Source organism: Homo sapiens, chromosome 12 (genome assembly GCF_000001405.40).
Source record: "Homo sapiens chromosome 12, GRCh38.p14 Primary Assembly".
Lineage (NCBI taxonomy): Eukaryota > Metazoa > Chordata > Mammalia > Primates > Hominidae > Homo > Homo sapiens.
This window is the reverse complement of record NC_000012.12, coordinates 9,217,691-9,238,287: the sequence shown is the minus strand read 5'-3', so window position 1 is coordinate 9,238,287 and position 20,597 is coordinate 9,217,691. Positions and strand designations below refer to the sequence as shown.

Below are 20,597 nucleotides of genomic sequence, written 5' to 3'. Positions count from 1 at the left end.
CCTTCAGCGAGAGGGATCCTTTAAAACATGTGTCAGATCGTGTCCCTCCTCTTCTCTAACCCTTTCAGGAATCTCCCATATCCCCCCTAAGTTAAAGCGTAAGTTTTTAATGCCACTTAGAAACCCTTGCTACCCCATGACTTCACGTCTTCCTAATCTCTCCTTCGCTTAACCCGTTCCGGCCACACTGACCTCTTTCTTCCTATTGGAATACACCCAGCATGCTTCAGTCTCTGGAGTCCTTTTACTTTTTGTTCCTTTTTCCTGGAAGTATCTTCCCCCAGGTTTGGATAAATCTGGCTCCTTGACTTACTTAAAGTCTCTGCTCACACAGGACTTTTTATCAATGAGCTTTTCCATAGGGAGCCCCCTCCCCACTTCCTGACCTGCCTTGTTTTACTAGCTCACCATAGAAACACTTGCCCTGCTTTAATTTTCTCTATAGCACTTATCAACATCTAGTATACTAAATATACTCTTGCTTTTTTATCGTAGTCTTCCCCTAAAAATGAAATCTCCAGGAGGCCAGGAAATTTGTTTTGAAACTTTCGGTATCATTGCACTTAGAACCTGGTACATAGTATACACTGAATACAAATGAATGGAATGAATGTAATTCTTGAAAAGCACTAACAGTAGCAGGAATTAATATAAACCATGAAGAGAAGGAAATAAGCATACCATAAGTATATGCCCATAGGAAAAGCCATAGAAATTTAGCACAAATGTATATGATGAATATGAATTTCACTGAGAGATGAATCATGGCTTTAAGGGAAACTTGGATTGTATCAAAGAAATTATGTAATAACTGAGCCAGGCATGGTGACTCACACCTGTAATCTCAGCAGTTGGGGAGATGGAGGCAGGCAAATCGCTTGAGATCAGAAGTTCAAGACCAGCCTGGCCAACTCTGTCTCTATAAAAAATACAGAAATTAGCCAGGTGTGGTGGTGCATGCCTGTAATCCCAGATACTTAGGTGGCTGAGGCACAAGAATCATTTGAACCTGGGAAGCAGAGGTTGCAGTGAGATCACGCCACTGTTCTTCAGCCTGGGTGACAGAGGGAGACTCTATCACAAAAAAAAAAAAAAAAAAAAAGTTATATAATGACGAAGGAAAATAAAAGGTTGGATCTAGATGATGTAGAGAAACATGATTCATAACAAAAATAGAACATTTCTCTCACTTTCCCCTCCTTTATATGTGTGTTTTTCTTCTTTCATTAGATACTGGAGTACCTGAAAAGGTGTCACTGAATGTTCCTTCAAATGTGGTTGAAGGATCTCCAAGGGCAACATATTCAGTTTTAGGTGATTCTTTCAGCCCAAGGGAAGCAGCTGTCTGGCTGTATAATTCTAGTGCATGGGCCTCACCATCCACGATTAATGAAGTTTCTGACAACAGGCAATGGATTGAGAGAAAGCACTAAGGGTTACACTATGTTACAGTTGGAAAGGGGCTTGAATAGATGTTGTGCTACATATTATGCCTTGATATATTCTAAAAAGAAAGGGTCACCTCTCAGTGCCCTCATCTTCAAGCAATTTACTAGGTGGTAATGCTTCCTAGTCAGTTTGAAAATGGTTGTGGTTGAGTTTTACCAGACATGTGGCCCATGAGAAAAGATAGATCACCTACCATTCAGTTTCTTCCCCCCTTTCTCCATCCTTAAACCGTCTATTTTCTCACCTTTTGTTTTCCTCCCTATTTCTTGTTTTTTCACCTTTTTTAGTCTTCTTGTCCTTTTCTCTATAGGTTATTTGGCCTCTCAGTTAGCTAATAATCTATTTTCCTAGCCTAATACAAACCATATCTGATTTCTTTACAACTTTTATTCCACAGGTGATATACTAGGCTCTGTAGTGCAAAACCTTCAGAACCTTCTTCAGATGCCCTATGGTTGTGGAGAGCAGAATATGGTCCTTTTTGTCCCTAACATTTATGTTCTAAACTATCTAAATGAGACACGACAGCTGACAGAGAAGATCAAGGCCAAAGCCACTAGCTACCTCATCAGTGGTGAGAGATTACCTCAAAAAGAAGAGCCATAATCTCTTAAATATTTTTTGGTGAACGAAAATCAACATCTGTTTCATTAAGATTCGATAGTCATTGTCGTGATTTTCAATAAAATGTCCCAATATACAAGTAGAAAATTCAATAGTATCATCAAGCCTGTGATTGGGGGTTGCGGGAAATTTTAACTAAATATTAGTTACCCTATGATTCCTAATAGCACTGAGAAAAAAGCTCAATAATCCTCCAATGTCTTTGCCATTTCAATAAATCTATGAACACTTCCTCTTCAGGGTACCAAAGGCAATTGAATTATAAGCACAGAGATGGTTCCTACAGCACCTTTGGGGACAATGATGGTAGCAGTCAGGGAAACAAGATTATTTTTTCCCTATGCTCTCTGTAGATCCATGACATTTCAGGATTCTAGAAACAGCTACTCTCTAATATCTGGAGTTTTTTGTGGAAAATTGTTAGTCTTTAAATAACGCATATGCTGTATGTATCATTCCTGTTGGGTAATCTCACCGTTTCATCTCTGAAAGCTTACCTGCTGTGATAACACAGCTGAAAATGGTGAAATAAGGATCTTCTAAATGGAAATATAAAGCAGAAAATGTCATTCTATAAAATGACAGGGGAAGAAGCTCCCACACTGTGCATTAAAGAAGGAGGGGAGGGCGAGGACAGAAGGAGACCGTGATGCAGTAAAGTCAGGACAAGTCATTCTGGAAATGCAGTTTTCATGGTGGGGAGGCTTGGAGGCTCCAACAAATGTTTCACAACAAAAAAATTAAAAAGCATCAACTCAGAGAAACCAATAAAGTTGAGATATAATAAAAGATATTGAGGTGTTTGTTGGACTAGAGTATATTCAGCTCTTAAATACTATTTCCCCATCAATACCTCCCAGTAATCTCCTCCACTGAATTGTGAAGAGCAATGTCTGGAGGCAGTGCACAAAGTGAGCTATGAAAGTGAGGTGGTCCTCATGTGTGTGTTTCTGTTTTGCTCGACGGGCTCACTGCATTTGTGCTCAAGTCCTTTGCTCAAGCCCAATCGTACATCTTTGTGGAGAGCTCACACATCAGGGATGCCCTCACCTGGCTTTCACAGGGACAAAAGGCAGATGGTTTTTTCGAAGGCTCTGGATCACTGCTGAACAATGCCATTAAGGTGATGCCTTCTCTGTTTTTCTTCTGGTCCCTGAAGATAGTGATATGTGGGAGGAAATGATGTTTGAATTGAGTCCTTCAGTCTTAGCGACATAGATTTCAGGAAGAATGGTGGACTCTAAATCTCCTGAAATCTAGCAATACCTTAGTAGTTTTTTATTGAATGAAAATAGTGTTCAAAAAAACCTCAAAGCCGAACATACTATAAAAAGTGAGGGAAGGTGATCTGGGACAGACTCAAGAATTTTAGGGTAGAGGAGGAAGGGGAGAAAATCAACAATCTAGCACAAGACAAGAAACAATCTAGCACAAGACAAGAAACACTCTAGTGAAGATGTCAAAAAGAAAAGAAGTGTTAGCAGATGCTGTCTCATGACTGTTGAAGTGTTTGAGTCTCTCTGCCTCTGATCCTTACACGGTGGGGTGAACGATGAGGTGACATTCTCTGCCTACATCACCATTGCTTTGCTGGAGATGCCTCTGCCTGCCACTGTATGTTCAAGCACATCCTCTGTACCTCCTTCACACACGTAAAGAATAAAATTATAATATGGTGAATCCCTGAGGGAAATTAATTGTGATTTTTATGGTATTTAATTTTGGTACATTTCACTGGAATGTAAAGGACCAGATCCTTTTGGAAGCAGCAGAGGAAACTCCTCTCTGGTCAGAACTGTGAGGTTATACAGGCACATTAAGGTTTTTAATCTGCAGTTAGCCCGGGAATAGCTCATTTGCCTGGTTCTGCTGTTTTACAATAGCCTTTCGTCTTCTTCATAGCACGCAGTGGTCTGCAGTGCCCTATCCTGCCTTGAAACGGCCTGGAGCTCCACCTCAGAGGCCCAAGGAAGTGTTGTCTATACCAAAGCATTATTGGCCTATGCCTTTGCCCTAGCAGGAAACAAAGTCAAGCGAAGAGAGTTGCTTGAATCATTAAACAGAGAGGCTATGAAAGAAGGTAAGAGCTGCTACTGCAAAGTTTACTTCTGACAACCACCAGTGACCAAAAGAAGGGACAATACCTCTACCGAGCTCATGCTTACCATGCTATCTTAATTTAATGACAGAATAATTATCATTGATCTAAGACCCGAATTCTCTGGATAACATGGATCATTTTATTAATCCACACAGTATAGACTCTATACAGTCCCACCTTCTAATATCACACACACACATGTAGTAGACACAAAGGCTCAATGTTATTCCCTGGAACTTTACTTTCTTGATAAAGATTTGTTTGATAGTGACTATTTAATGCTTTCACTTTGTTTAATGCTTTCACTTCATTAAAATGAAATGTCAATTTATTAGGTAAACTGTAATTATAATTATCACTTATGGATTAGATTTTGAAATCATCCTTTAAGCTAAAAATTCTACCCTTTTCTATGTCAAAGAGGATTCGATCCACTGGCAACGTCCTGGGAAACTTCACGAAGCTAAGACCCTCTATTCTCAACCCTGGGCTCCCTCTGTGGAAGTAGAGATGACATCTTATGTGCTCCTTGCCTATCTTACTGTCCAGCCTGCCCCATCTTCAGAGGACCTGTCTGTGGCATCACGTATTGTGAAGTGGATTACCAAGCAGCAAAATCCCCAAGGGGGCTTCTCCTCCACTCAGGTCTGTGGGAAGACTCTAGAAGGAAACATAAATATATTCACATATATGAAGACACAACCATCTGGGAGTTGAATAATGGAATGGTTAGTATTTCCAATTCACACTTTCTCCATCCCTCCATCAGCAGACAAGTTCCAGCCTTACTATCTTATGTATGGATTACTGCTCTGTCCTTTTTATACTCTCTCCTCTCTTAACTCCCTAGGGGCCCCCCAACCATGCAGGTAGGTTTGTCTTCACAAAGCAATATTTTCAAGGGATTACTTCCCTTAGAAAATAAATCTTTTTTTCACTCAAAGCCTAAAATTATCTAATATTTTATCAAAAATATTTCCTCTCTCCAGTAAACATGAGTGCACCAATCTGATTAGGCAGATCCCTTTGCTTCTTCTGGAATTAGCTCACCGCAGTTTCCATGACTTCATATAGAGCATTCCCCACCCAGGTCCCCCCCCCGATGCCTCTCTTCTGTCTACATAAACCCTGCTCATTATTCAGAGATAATCTTATTTCTCAGATAACCTTCTTCGGTCTTCTCTTACTATTCTAACCCATATTTTCTTCTCTCTTCTCTGACCTTTTATAACAAATATTGTTACATAAATTTATAAATTATTGAAATAGCCTGGGCTTGTGTCAGATATCTAAGTCTTATCTCCATATGTCTATTTAAACTAGCTGAATGAAGAAACTTTTTAAAAATATACCTTCAAAGTATCTAGAATAGTTTATCATTACTAACCAGATTGAACTGAATTGAAATAGAGTTAGTGGACTGCATTTATGACTAAATAATTCTGAAAAAAGAATAGTGTTGTTATGGTTTACATCCAGTGTGAGTTTGTTACTTTCCTCTTCTGTGATTTCTCTACTCATTTTTTTTTTCAGGACACAGTGGTGGCTCTTCAAGCGCTCTCCAAATATGGAACAGCAACTTTCACTAAAAGTGAGAAAGCAGCTTTGGTCACCATCAAGTCTTCAGACACCTTTTCTAAAGACTTCCAAGTTGATGATGGCAACTGCCTAGTGCTGCAGGAGGTCCAGTTGCCAGAGGTTCCAGGGGAGTACAGCACAACCATGTCAGGGTCAGGATGTGTGTACCTCCAGGTGAGACTGCTGGGGTTTAGGAGATGCTGCAAATGGGAGAGAAAGTCTCAAGAGTTATATTTGAATTTCAAAATAAGAAAAAGAAGTGTGTGCTAAGGGAAGGTATGAATCGTCTGGAACAGATTATGAGACAAGTTCAGTGTAAAAATTAAGGATTTTTTTTCCATTTGTTTTAGACATGCCTGAGATATAACATCCTTCCCAAGAAAGAAGGGAAAACACCTTTTGCTCTGCAGGTTAATACTCTCCCCACAAATTGTGATGGAATGGATGCTCACAGAACGTTCCAGATTCACATCAACATTAGGTAAGTCCTAGATCATGACCAGACCTTTTGCACCAACCGAATAGAATATGGAGAAATTGATTTTCTTATGTGGAGAAACTCCACTGTCCAAAGCCACACATAATGAATATGGAATTCTTGCAGTGTTTATTAATGAGAAAATTTTCTGAAAAAGACTTAACATTGATAATATGGTATTACAATATCTGAAGAGTGTGAGCTTAAAATGATGGGTTTTCCAAACAACCATAATAACAGAAACAGATACAGTAGACATAGTAACTTAGTGTTAGAAATAGAAGGTAAAGAGAGAGTTTGTCTTGAATGAATTCCAAGAAATTTTGTTTGAATTCCTTATTCTTATGCTTTGATTTTATAGTTATACTGGGGACTGACCCAGTTCCAACATGGTCATTGTTGATGTGAAGATGGTATCAGGCTTCATACCTATGAGAGCATCAGTTAAAAAGGTAATCCCTAGATCCCTTACAAAATAGCAAAGCCATGGTAAATGCTGGCATTTATCGTGTCAATTTGACTTTATTGATGCACTTTTCAAGAGGTGTGCTCCCTCAAAATTGCTTCTCTAGAGGGTGTCTCTATCATTTTAATAGTGTGTATCATGATTATATGGTGTCAAGTATAGGGTATAAGTCAGAAACATGATAAATAATGTTCCAACAGGCCCCAAGACACCTAGTTATGTGGAATGGTATTGAATTATTTTCCAGCTATATATAAAAAGAGAAAAGGATATATGGGTGTGTGCATGCATATATATATCACATATATGTATCTGCACATACACTTATAGCATATATAGAGAATAAAAGTTCAATAAATATTGCTACTGTTATTTTCATTATTATTCTTGAAGAAATCAAAATTAGTAGTTTGGATGCTCCTGAGAAGCTGTTTATATCATAAATACCTGAAAACTACTGCCAGTATGAAGTTTTCTCATTCCATATTTCTGGCTTATCCTCTTGGTCAACAGCTCCAGAAACAGCCTCAGATTCAGAGGACTGAAGTGAGCACCAACCATGTCCCAATCTACTTTGAAAAGGTAAGACTTTCTGTGACTCTGCTAGATTTGGAATAACAACTAGAGGTTCTATAAAAAGAAATGAAGCCGGCCGGGCACAGTGGCTCACACCTGTAATCCCAGCACTTTGGGAGGCCAAGGCAGGTGGATCATGAGGTCAGGAGTTCGAGACCAGCCTGGCCAAGATGGTGGAACCCCATCTTTACTAAAAATACAAAAATTAGCTGGGGGCGGTGGCAGGTGCCTGTAATCCCAGCTACTTGAGAGGCTGAGGCAGGAGAATCGCTTGAACCTGGGAGGCAGAGGTTGCAGTGAGCCGAGATCGTGCCACTGCACTCTAGCCTAGGCGACAGAGCGAGACTTGGTCCCCCCCACAAAAAAAAAAAAAAAAAAGAAGAGAAAAGAAAAGGAAAAAAGAAATGAAGCCTGGACTGTCAACAGGCTTGATTCATTACATTTGGCTGTCTACAAAATGTCTCTTTTGTCCTTCTTTTATCTGTCATTGAGTATGTTATGCAGGTCACAGAATTCCCCTTTCTTTTCATAGGTTCTGGTACAGATATATAGCATAACTACAGGGTTTGATAATATCTTATGAAGAGTGGCCAGTAACTAGTAACTAGTTAATCAAAGATTAACTAATCTTTGATTCCAATTGTTTTCCTGTCTCTCCAGCTAACCCATCAAACCCTGCATTTTTCCTTCTTTGTGGAACAAGACATCCAAATAAAGAATTTAAAACCAGCTACAGTAAAAGCCTATGATTATTATGAGACAGGTAAGATTCAGACATGCTGAGCTTTGAAATGAAAAAAAAAAAAAAAAAAAAAGACTACTAACCTAGTAAAGGATTGCCTTAACTAAAGCAAAACTCCACAGTGTTTCACTGGGGGAAAAAGTGAGTTTGTGTGCACTGGATAATCATGTTCTTGTATATTAACCTCTCATGTCCCCCCACTAAACAAGTGTTAGAGTCATTCTTATAAATTGACCATAAGGCAATAAGAGGGTCCATTCTATCTTCTATCTAAATTTCCCTATAAAGTTGTTTGTCCTGGGCTGAATTACTCCAAAGAGATAAGAAGAGTACAATAACTGAAAAAACACATCTCAGTGCTGATGTGTGACATGAAAAATTTGATCTGTTTTTGACTTGTGCTTCGGATAGTCTCACACAATTTGGGAAACTTTGTGATAATCAGGAAATACTTTGATTTGCTCATGGCTTTGAGCTAGAAAATTACCACCATTGTAGCATGATGGTAGTGCTAAAACTGTTCTTCTTTGATTAAGGAAAGGTTCAGAGAGCAAGGTGCAATTCCAATGAGAAAAACACAGCTGTGAAAAGGTACTATCTACGGAGTCCTGTAACTACTGTAACTATTCTTAGGCATGCCACCCGTGTACCCGGCCTTTCAATTCTGTTCCCAAGCCAGATTTTCTCTTAGTTTCCTCCCACCAATCCCAAATAGCTTAATAGAGAAGTCATTTTTATTGGTTCTATAGCGATGCTGTCTACTTTCTTTCTTAGCTTACATAGTTTATTTACAATTCACATCTTGGGTGCTTATGCCTGAATGTCTTCACTCTTTCTCTCCAATAATTTCTGTGTTTCAGATGAATTCACCTTTGAAGAATACAATGCCCCTTGCAGTGCTGGTAAAGTATAAATGATTCAATCTAATGCCACTTGAAAGAAAATAAATAAGCATCTCAGTTAAACAGTAAAGTCTAATCCCAACTTCAAAATAAATAAGCATCTCAGTTCTCTGCATAAGGCTGCTTCTTGAGAAGACTGTACCCTTTCCATATCCTAAAAAAACCCTGATGTACCATGTATAAATTGAACTATATCAAATGTATTATAAAATTTCTCAGAAAAAAATGCAAGTTAAATACAATTACTGGTGTCTGGGGTGACTTGTTTGAAGATGAATCCAAGAATTTCCCATATGTAAAAACTAAATTATCTAACATGTAGTTTCCATTCTATACCCAGTGGTGATATATTCATCCCCTATAGCCTTTCTAGGATATTTCTAAGTGTATACTAAAGTCAAAAAACTTGTCACTGTAATTATCCATATAGCACAGCATGAAAGGTGTGGTCTATAAGACCTTCCTTTAGGCTGATTGACAGGGTTCATCTTTGACATAGAATTTGCCATGAAACCTTTGCTTCTCCATTTTAAAATATGAAAACACGGAGAACATCCCTATCATTAAAAATAATTAAAAGTTACTAAGTTCAAGTATTTATAACTGAAATATAAAGAATTATTCTTAAGTAGGTCACATAATTTCCCTTTCTCCCTTTTCTTTTACTACTTAGAATCTGAATAAAGAAATGCTTGAAAACAGCAACTTACGGACCTCATTGGGTGAACTTCTCCAGAAATGAAGAACAGACTCATCAATAGAGAGGACAGTGAGAGAAAGAAGGGAAGATCATTGGAAATACACAAAATTTGTATGTTGAATAAATTTATGGCATTTATAACTCTATCTTTTCTTTTGTTCTTTATCAATATCATATTCACTTTTCTGAATATGAATCTATTCTCCCTAGCATTTATTAAATCACAGAAAAGCTATACAAAGAGGTACACTCAAAAACACTATAGATGAATTAAAGCGGAATTTTTAAAAATGTCAATTAAACCACAAAAAGGAAAAAGAAAACAGTTTTTCCAAACATTGGAAACAACAAAAAGTTCATCAGTAGATGAATGGTTTGGCAACCATACGACATAGTTCTGCTGGACAACGAAGAGGAACAAACGACTGACATACACAACGACTTAAGTGGATCTCAGAAGCATTAGGCTGTGTGGGGAAAAAGCCAATCTCAAAAGGTCACAATCTGAATGATTTCTTTTATACAACATTCCTTAAATGACAGAATTATAGAGACGAAAAACAAATTCGTGGTTACTAGGGGTTACAGAGAGTACGGGAGTGGGATGGGTGTGACCGTAAGTGAGTAGCATTAGAGAGTTTTTGTGGTGATGAAATCCTGCATGTGTGGAAGCAAAAGTCCTGCTGCAGATTTTTCCATTTAATTCCATCTCAAATTATTTTCTTGTTTATTGGGTGGTGAGCAAGAAAGTATCTAAATTAACTTTTTTTTCCATGTAGCTTTCTAATAGCCCTATTAATATTGATTGACCAACTCAATCTTTCCCTGCTAATAAAACATGCCTCCTTTATCACAAATTATCACGTATACTAAGGCTTGTTTCTGAATGGTCTATTCTAGTCCATTGAGTACCTGGTCTATTCTTTCATAAGGATTACAATATTTGAATTGCTGTAGCTTAATAAAATGTTTTAAAAACTACTGTGGCTGATGTCTTTTCATTTCTCTGTTTTCACTTTTTCTTTGCATCACTGATTTGTGTCCTCACCAAATCTCATGTTGAATTGTAATCCCCAGAATTGGAAGTGGGGTCTGGTGGGGGGTGATTAGGTCATGGGGGTGAATCCCTCATTAATGGGTTAGCACCATCCCCTTGGTGGTGTTCTCATGATAGAGTTCTAGCAAGTTCTGGTCATCTAACAGTGTGTAGCACCTCCCCCACACCTTGCTCATGCTCCCACCACGTTAGAAGCCTTGCTCCCTTTTAGCCTTCTGCCATGATTGTAAGTTTCTGGAGGCCTCCCCAGAAGCCTAGCAGAGGCCAGCATCATGCTTCTTGGACAGCCTGTGGAACTGTGAGCCAACTAACCTCCTTTCTTTATAAATCACCCAATCTCAGGTATTTCTTTATAGCAATGCAAGAATGGACTAATACAATTACTAAGATCATTATTTGTTCAAGTTAAAACTCTAGAATCTTTTAAGTTCATTATCCCCATAGTCAACTAGGTATTGTTTGGAATTGCATTGAATATATAAATGTATAAAAGGTTTTAAGGTTATGAATATATAAAAGGTTTTAAGCACAAGTGTCAATTTTTTGCATTTCATCTTCCCTATTCAGACTCATTTTATATTTATTCAATTCACATGAAGCAAATTCTAATTCTGACTTAATTTCTAATTTTGGACTGAAGTACCAAGTTAAAGATTAGCTTCATAGACATATATAGTAGGATAAGTTGAAAAATAAAACAACGTATACATGGAGGCAAACGATTTTCACAAGATAGTGAAAAACTAGAACAATATTTCTCATTTGTTGATGGATGTCATTGAAAGGTTTTAAGCAAGATAATAGTTCCTATTTGCATTATGGATAGTCATCAGAAGACGGGTGATTTCTGCATTTCCAACTGAGGTACCTGGTTCATCTCACTGGGACTAGTTGGACAGTGGGTGCAGCCCACAGAGGGCGAGCCGAAGCAGGGCAGGGCATCGCCTCACCCGGGAAGCACAACAGGTCGAGGATTTCCCTTTCCTAGCCAAGGGAAGCTGTGACAGACTGTACTGGGAAAATCAGGACACTGCCACCGAAACACTGCACTTTTCCAAAGGTCTTAGCAAACAGCATACCAGGAGATTATATCCCATGCCTGGCTCAGTGGGTCCCACACCCACAGAGCCTTGCTTACTGCTAGTCCGAGATTGAATGGCAAGGCAGCAAGCCTGGCTGGGGAAGGGGCATCCGCCATTGCTGAGGCTTGAGTAGGTAAACAAAGCAGTGGCGACCAGGAAGCTCAAACTGGGTGGAGCCCACCTCAGCTCAAGGAGGCGTGCCTGCCTCTGTAGACTCCACCTCTGTGGGCAGGGCATAGCTGAACAAAAGGCAGCAGAAACTTCTGCAGACTTAAACATCCCTGTCTGACAGCTCTGAAGAGAGCAGTGGTTCTCCCAGCATGGTGTTTGAACTCTGAGAATGGACACACTACCCCTTCATGTGGGTCCCTGACCCCCGTGTAGCCTGACTTGGAGACCCTCCCAGTAGGGGCTGACTGACACCTCAAACAGCCAGGTGCCCCTCTGAGATGAAGCTTCCAGAGGAAGGATCGGACAGCAATATTTGCTGTTCTGCAGGCTCTGCTGATGATACCCAGGCAAACAGGGTCTGGAGTGGACCTCCAGCAAACTCCAATAGACGTGCAGCTCAGGAAACTGATGGTTAGAAGGAAAACTAACAAACAGAATGGAATAGCATCAACATCAACAAAAAGGACATCCACACAAAAACTCCATCTGTAGGTCACCATCATCAAAGACCAAAGGTAGATAAACCCACAAAGATGGGGAGAAACCAGAGCAGAAAAGCTGAAAATTCTAAAAACCAGAGCGCCCCTTCTCCTCCAAAAGATCACAGCTCCTCACCAGCAACAGAACAAAGCTGGATGGAGAGTGACTTTGATGAGTTCACAGAAGTAGGCTTCAGCAAGTTGGTAGTAACAAACTTCTCCAAGCTAAAGGAGGATGTTTGAGCCCATCGCAAGGGAGTTAAAAACCTTGAAAAAAGATTAGATAAATGACTAACTAGACTAAACAGGGTAGAGAAGATCTTAAATGACCTGATGGAGCTGAAAACCATGGCATGAGAACTACGTGATGCATGCACAAGCTTCAGTAGCCGATTCGATCAAGTGGAAGAAAGGGTATCAGTGACTGAAGATCAAATGAATGAAATGAAGCAAGAAGAGAAGTTTAGAGAAAAAAGAGTAAAAAGAAATGAACAAAGCCTCCAAGAAATATGGGACTATGTAAAAAGACCAAATCTACGTTTGATTGGTATACCTGAAGGTGATGGGGAGAATGGAACCAAGTTGGAAAATACTCTTCAGGATATTATACAGGAGAACTTACCCAACCTAGCAAGGCAGGCCGACATTCAAATACAGGAAATACAGAGAACACCACAAAGATACTCCTCAAGAAGAGCAACACCAAGACACAAAATTGTCAGATTCGCCAAGGTTGAAATGAAGGCAAAAATGCTAAGGTCAGCCAGAGAAAAAGGTTGAGTTACCCACAAAGGGAAGCCCATCAGACTAACAGTGGATCTCTCAGCAGAAACCCTAAAAGCCAGAAGACAGTGGGGGCCAATATTCAACATTCTTAAAGAAAAGAATTTTCAACCCAGAATTTCATATCCAGCCAAACTAAGCCTCAAAAGTGAAGGAGAAATAAAATCCTTTACAGACAAGTAAATCCTGAGATACATTGGTGTGTCCAAGAAGCATAGTGCCAAACAGCAGATACCATCTCACACCAGTTAGAATGGCGATCGTTAAAAAGTCAGGAAACAACAGGTGCTGGAGAGGATGTGGAGAAATAGGAACGCTTTTACACTGTTGGTGGGACTGTAAACTAGTTCAACCATTGTGAAGACAGTGTGGCGATTCCTCAAGGATCTAGAACTAGAAATACCATTTGACTCAGCGATCCCATTACTGGATATATACCCAAAGGATTATAAATCATGCTGCTAGAAAGACTCATGCACATGTATGCTTATTGTGGCACTATTCACAATAGCAAAGACTTGGAACCAACCCAAATGTTCATCAATGATAGACTGGATTAAGAAAATGTGGCACATATACACCATGGAATACTATTCAGCCATAAAAAATGATGAGTTCATGTCCTTTGTAGCAACATGGATGAAGCGGGAAACCATCATTCTGAGCAAAACTATCACAAGGACAGAAAAGCAAACACCGCATGTTCTCACTCATAGGTGGGAATTGAACAATGAGAACACTTGGATGGGGAACATCACACACTGGGGCCTGTCGCGGGGTGGAGGGATGGGGGAGGGATAGCATTAAGAGAAATACCTAATGTAAATGACGAGTTAATGGGTGCAGCACACCAACACGGCACGTGTATACATATGTAACAATCCTGCACATTGTGCACATGTACCCTAGAACTTAAAGTATAATAATTTTAAAAAAGAAAAAAATGATTTATTTTCCTCTCATCCATATACTCATACCTCTTTGAAAGCCAAACCTGTATCTTAATCATGTCTGTGCAGCCTGTTCACCCAACACAGTGCTGGGAAGGTTGTAGGCACTCATTAAAACAAAGGGGTGATTAAGTGTGTCAGTGCCTGAGTAAGCGTATTCCTGTAGGTAGGGAATTAGAGGAGAAATGGAGTAACACTAAGGTGTTAGCACACACCAGTAGGAAACATGAGCTAGAAAAATCATTTTGACTCGAACCTGGTTTGAGTTGCTTAATGTTTCACAAACACTTTAAGGAAGAAGATTTTGATATTTTCCCAAAGTCAAATAAACGAGAAGGAAAAAAATGGTTATTTATTGGGACTTTGAGCAAAACTTGTTTGAAAGTACATTTTATACATTCAGTGAGCTCTACATGGGAAATCATGGCCTCTATCTTGCAAAAGGAACTGTTAACAATTATCAGAAAGGTAAATACAAATGATCTTTGTTGTAGTTTGATTTGTGTCCCCAAAAAAGATATGTTGAAGTCCTAACGCCTGGTACCTGCGAATGTCGCTTTATTTGGAAATAGGGTCCATGGAGTTGTAATTAAGATGTAAGTTAAGATAAAGTCATACTGGAGTAGTGTGGGTCCCTAATCCGGTAGGACTGGTGTCCTGTAAGAAGAAATGATACGTGTACAGAGGAAAGGTGATGCAGACAGACCACAAGGAAAACTCTGTGTGATGATGGGGGCAAACACAGGAACACTAAGGATTGCTCACAACACCAGAAGCTAAGAGAAAGGCATGGGGCAGATTCTCCCTAGAGCGTTCTGTGGGATCATGACCCTACCAATACCTTGATTTTGGACTGTGAGCCTCCACAACCAACAGAGAATAAATGTATGTTGTGTTAAGCCGCCCACTTTGCAGTATTTTGTTATGGCAGTCCTAGAAAACTACTATAATCTCCAATTAAAATAGTATCTTTTCATTCGTTGGCCAAGTTTACTTAGCAAATTTTTAATTGTCTTTTAAGCAGATCCAGATGGTTGGGTGGAGGAAGAATACATGTTTTACATATTTCCACAGAGTTTAACTTAACAATGAAAATGTCTTGGCTGGGCGTGGTGGTTTATGCCTGTAATCCCAGCACTTTGGGATGTCGAGGCAGGTGGACCATGAGGTCAAGAGATCGAGACCATCCTGACCAATGTGGTGAAACCTCGTCTCTATTAAAAATACGAAAATTAGCTGGGTGTGGTGGTGCACACCTGTATTTCCAGCTACTCAGGAGGCTGAGGCAGGAGAATCACTTGAACCCAGGAGGCGGAGGTTGCAATGAGCCGAGATCACATCACTGCACTCCAGCCTGGCAACAAAGTAAGACTCCATCTCAAAAAAAAAAAAAAAAAGACAAGAAAATATCTCATATAATTTAAAATAAGCAAACAAATATTAAAATCTGGCCCAGTGCAGTGGTCTTACACTTATAGTTCCAGCTACTCAAGAGGCTGAGGGTGGAGGATTGTTCAAGCCCAGGAGCTGGAGTCCAACCAGGGCAACATAGTGAGACCTCATCTCTATTTCAAAAAAAAAAACCAGATAATAAATAATAAAATCTGAGACGTGGGGTTCAGCTTTCCATTTCTAGACCTCTGTCATGCTTAGAGCGTATCTCAGAAAAGACACATCTCTTTGTGTTCTTAAAGTTCTCCAGGAAGAATTTTCTTGTTTATTTCTGTGTTAATAAGGAAAATTAAAAGATGATTTATAATAAAAAAGCAAATCTGGCCGGGCGTGGTGGCTCATGCCTGTAATCCCAGCACTTTGGGAGGCCGAGGCGGGCGGATCACAAGGACAGGATATGGAGACCATCCTGGCTAAGACGGTGAAACCCCATCTCTACGAAAAATACAACAAAAAATTAGCCGGGCGTGGTGGCGGGCGCCTGTAGTCCCAGCTACTCGGGAGGCTGAGGCAGGAGAATGGCGTGAACCCGGGAGGCAGAGCTTTCAGTGAGCTGAGATCATGCCACTGCACTCCAGCCTGGGTGACAGATTGAGACTCCGTCTCAAAAAAAAAAAAAAAAGCAAGTCTATGAATGAATGTTTGGGTGAAGTGTTGATTTATTCATTTTAATCTGTCTGGCACACCCCCAAGGCGAGGTTTGATTATTATTTAATGCAAAGTAGAAGTATTGTAAAAGACCTTTCTTAGGAATTTTTAAAACGTAAAGGAGTCACTTAAACAGCAATAATATGAGAAATATCTTTATGCATTTTACTTAATAGTCTCAGACATCTTGTAAAATTTAGGAATGGGAATTAATGCAATAACAAAGAATATTCAAGGTACTAAAGGCAAGGGTTCTATGTGGATTCAAATTATTGTTGAGCAAAGTTTTGCCTAAGAAAATCTGTGCCAAGATTTAATGTGTACTTAATCAGACAAGATGAAACTTGTCATTTCCAGTAAACGATCTCTGATTACTCAAAGTCTGTTCATATATTAACAAAAGACTTTCATCATCAGTACACTTGAATAACACTTGGCCCAAAAATACTCTTTCCACATCACAGAGCAGCTGAATGAAAACTTAAATTGCTTCTTTGTAGCAGGCATAAAAAAGTAAAATATTGAAAATAAAAGAGAATGCCTTTGTCAAATTGTATAAAGAGTACTTTTCTATAAAATATTTTATAATTCATACTGAGGCTCATAGGTAAGTATTATTAACTGTGGTAACTTTCTTTCTTTCTTTCTTTCTTTCTTTCTTTTTTTTTTTTGAGACATAGTTTTGCCCTTGTTGCCCAGGCTGGAGTGCAACGGCGCGATCTCAGCTCACTGCAACCTCCGCCTCCCGGGTTCAAGAGATTCTCCTGCCTCAGCACCCCAAATACCTGGATTACAGGCACACATCACCACCCCCGGCTAGTTTTATATTTTCAGTAGAGACGAGGTCAGGCTGGTCTTGAACTCCTGACCTCAGGCAATCTGCCCACCTTGGCCTCCCAAAGTGCTAGAATTACAGGCGTGAGCCACCGCACCTGGCCAACTATGGTAACTGTCTATTTTGACAAATTTTTGGTAAAAACATAATTTGAAAAGGATAAAACCATGATTCTTAGGCAAATGTAAAAACAACACACATGTCAAAGAAATAACCAGTAGGATGTTATTACCAATTCAAAGAGCATATTAAAAAACTAACATATTTGCATACAATTAAACAAACAAACAAACAAAAAATCTGTTAGGATAAGAATGACATGTTATGTATAAAACTGGTTAATGTTACAATATGGTAAAAATCTTAGGTTTCTATTCCATTGGACAGAAATGATTTATACTGGTACTTGATAAAAGTCAAAAAGTAACTTTAGTAAGTTTGGAATCTTTATGATAAATAATGAGATGAACTAAGGATATTCCCCTAGATAATACTTAAGTGACCCTTACCCCAAAATAGTATTGAAAGAATGTACTACCATCATTTTACCTTATTTTTGAGTTTCTGATACTTTTTTTCAGAGTCTCCCCTCACCAAAAATTGTTCTTTTTTAACTTGTATTTTAGGTTCAAGGGTACATGTGCAGGTTTGCTATATAGATAAATTGTGTGTCATGGGGGCTTGGTGTATAATTATTTTATCACCCACGTAAAAAGCATAGTACCCAATAGGTAGTTTTTCAATCCTCACTCTTCCATTCTCCACGTGCAAGTAGGCCCTGGCATCTGTTGTTTCCTTCCTTATGTCCACGTGTACTCAATGTGTAGCTACCACTAATAAGTGAGAACATACAGTATTTGGTTTTCTGTCCCTGTGTTAGTTTGCTTAGGATGATGGTCTCCAGCTCCATCAATTTTGCTGCAAAGGACGTGATCTCATTCTTTCTTACGGCTGTGTAGTATTCCATAGTGTATATGTGGCATGTTTTCTTTATCCAGTCTACCATTGGTGGGCATTTAGATTGATTCCATGGCTTAGCTATTGTGAATAATGCTGCAATGAACTGCATGTATGTGCCTTTACGGTAGAATGATTTATATTCCTTTGGGTATATACCCAATAATGGGATTTCTGGGTCAGATGGTAATTCCATTTTAAGATCTTTGAGAAATCACCAAATTGCTCTCCACAGTAGGTGAACTAAATTACATTCCCACCAGCAGTGTATAAGCATTCCTTTTTCTCTATGACATTGCCACCATCTAATAGCCATTCTGACTGGTGTGAGATAGTATCTCAATGTGGTTTTGATTTGCATTTCTCTAACGATTAGTGATGTCGAATATTTTTTCATAAGCTTATTGGCCACATGAATGTTTTCTTTTGAGAAGTGTCTGTTCCTGTCCTTTGCCCACATTTTTATGGTGTTCTTTGTTTCTTGCTTGTTAATTTCTTAAGCAAGTTCCTTATAGATGCTGGATATTAGACCTTTGTCAGATGCATAGTTTGCAAATATTTTCTGTTTTGTAGGTTGACTGTTTCCTCTGTTGATAGTTTCTTTTGCTGTGCAGATGCTCCTTAGTCTAATTAGGTCCCACTTGTCAATTTTTGATTTTGTTGCAATTGCTTTTAACATCTCCATCATGAAATCTTTATAAGGGCCTATGGCCAGAAAGGTATTTTCTAGGTTATCTTCCAGGATTTTATAGTTTTAGGTTTTACATTTAGGTCTTTAATCCATCTTGATTTGATTTTTGCATATGGTGTAAGCAAGAGGTCCAGGTTCAATCTTCTGCGTATGGCTAGCCAGTTATTCCAGCACCATTTATTGAATAGAGTCCTTTCCCCCTTGCTTGCTTTTGTCAACGTTGTCAAAGATTAGATGGTTGTAGGTGTGTGGCATTATTTCTGGGCTCTCCATTTTGTTCCATTGGTCTGGAAGTCTGTTTTTGTACCAGGACCACGCTGTTTTGGTTACTGTAGCCCTGTAGTATAGTTTGAAATTGGGGACTATGATGTCTCCCGCTATGTTCTTTTTGCTTAGGATTGCTTTGGGTATCAGTTGTTTATCAGATCAAGGAGCTTTTCGGCAGAGATGATGAGGTTTTCTAGATATAGAATCATATCATTCGCAAACAGGGAGAGCTTAACTTCCTCTCTTCCTATTTGGATGCCTTTTATTTCTTTCTCTTGCCTGATTGTGCTGGCTAAGAATTCCAGTACTATGTTGAATTAGGAGTGGTAAGAGAAGGCATCTTTGTCTCATCCCAGTTTTCAAGAGGAATGCTTCCAGCTTTTGCCCATTCAGTATGATGTTGGCTGTGTGTTTTTAATACATGGTTTTTATTATTTTGAAGTATGTTCATTCAATGCCTAGATTTTGTGGGTTTTTAACATGAAAGAATTTTGATTTTTATTGAAAGCCCTTTCTGCGTCTATTGAGGTGATCATGTGGTTTTTCAGTTCGGCATTCTGTTTGTGTGGTAAATAACATTTATTGATTTATGCATGTTGAACCAAGAATAAAGCCCACTTGATAATGGTGGATTAGCTTTTTTTTGGCATGCATTTATTTATTTATTTTTATTTCCATAGGATTTTGGTGAACAGGTGGTGTTCAGTTACATGAGTAAGTTATTTAGTGGTGATTTGTAGATTTTGGTGCACCCATCACACAAATGTTAGCGGTAGAGAGTATCCAAGGTTCTTGGTGTCTTGAACAAAGAATTGGACAAAACTCACTAACAAAGCAAGGAAGGAATGAAGGGTTTTATTGAAAATGAAAGTACATTCCACGGTGTAAGAGCGGGACTGAGCATAGGGACACAAAGGCTCCATTACAGAACTTTTGGGAGTTTAAATACCCTCTACTTGGGGTACACCCTATGTAAATGAAGAAGATGAAGTAAAGTTACAAAGTCATTTACTTGGCCTACGCCTTATAGAGAGGATATTTCCTGTTATAGCTGAAGTGTGAATCAGCCTTATGTTCCCTGCCTCCAGACCCTATTTTCCAGCCTCACAACCAGAATACACCGAACCCAGTTTGTAGTCTTTTATCCCTCACCCATTTCCCACCCTTTCCTCACAAGTCCCCAAAGTCCACTGTATCATTTTTATGCCTTTGCATGCTCATAGCTTAGCTCTCACTTATGAGCGAGAACATATAATGTTTGGTTTTTCATTCCTGAGTCACTTCACTTAGAATAATAGTCTCCAGTCCCATCCAGGTTGCTGTGAATGCCATTAATACATTCCTTTTTATGGCTAAGTAGCATTCTATCATATATATACCACAGTTTCTTTATCCACTCATTGATTGATGGGCATTTGGGCTGGTTCCAAAATTTTGCAATTGCGAATTGTGTTGTTATCAAAATATCATCATCATTCTTCACAGAACTAGAAAAAAATCCTAAAATTCATATGGAACATAAAAGGATCCCGCATAGCCAAAGAAAGACTTAAAAAAACAAACAAATAAAAACAAACAAACAAACAAACAAAAAACTATGGAGGCATCA

At 39.0% G+C, this 20,597-nt stretch overlaps 1 pseudogene across 2 annotated transcripts in view; it reads left to right on the top strand.

The window, feature by feature from the left end:
- A2MP1 (alpha-2-macroglobulin pseudogene 1) overlaps positions 1-9,760 on the top strand; it is a 45,821-nt pseudogene extending 36,061 nt beyond the window's left edge. The window contains exons 21-30 of one of the 2 annotated variants that reach the window (NR_199634.1): positions 1,847-2,023; positions 3,976-4,153; positions 4,596-4,902; positions 5,708-5,926; positions 6,103-6,233; positions 6,592-6,682; positions 7,210-7,278; positions 7,933-8,035; positions 8,875-8,916; positions 9,590-9,760. The product of NR_199634.1 is annotated as an alpha-2-macroglobulin pseudogene 1, transcript variant 2 (transcript). Of the gene's footprint in view, positions 1-1,846; positions 2,024-3,975; positions 4,154-4,595; positions 4,903-5,707; positions 5,927-6,102; positions 6,234-6,591; positions 6,683-7,209; positions 7,279-7,932; positions 8,036-8,874; positions 8,917-9,589 lie in introns of those variants that run through there. The other variant, NR_040112.1, reaches the window with a different exon arrangement.
- Positions 9,761-20,597: the final 10,837 nt, after the last annotated feature.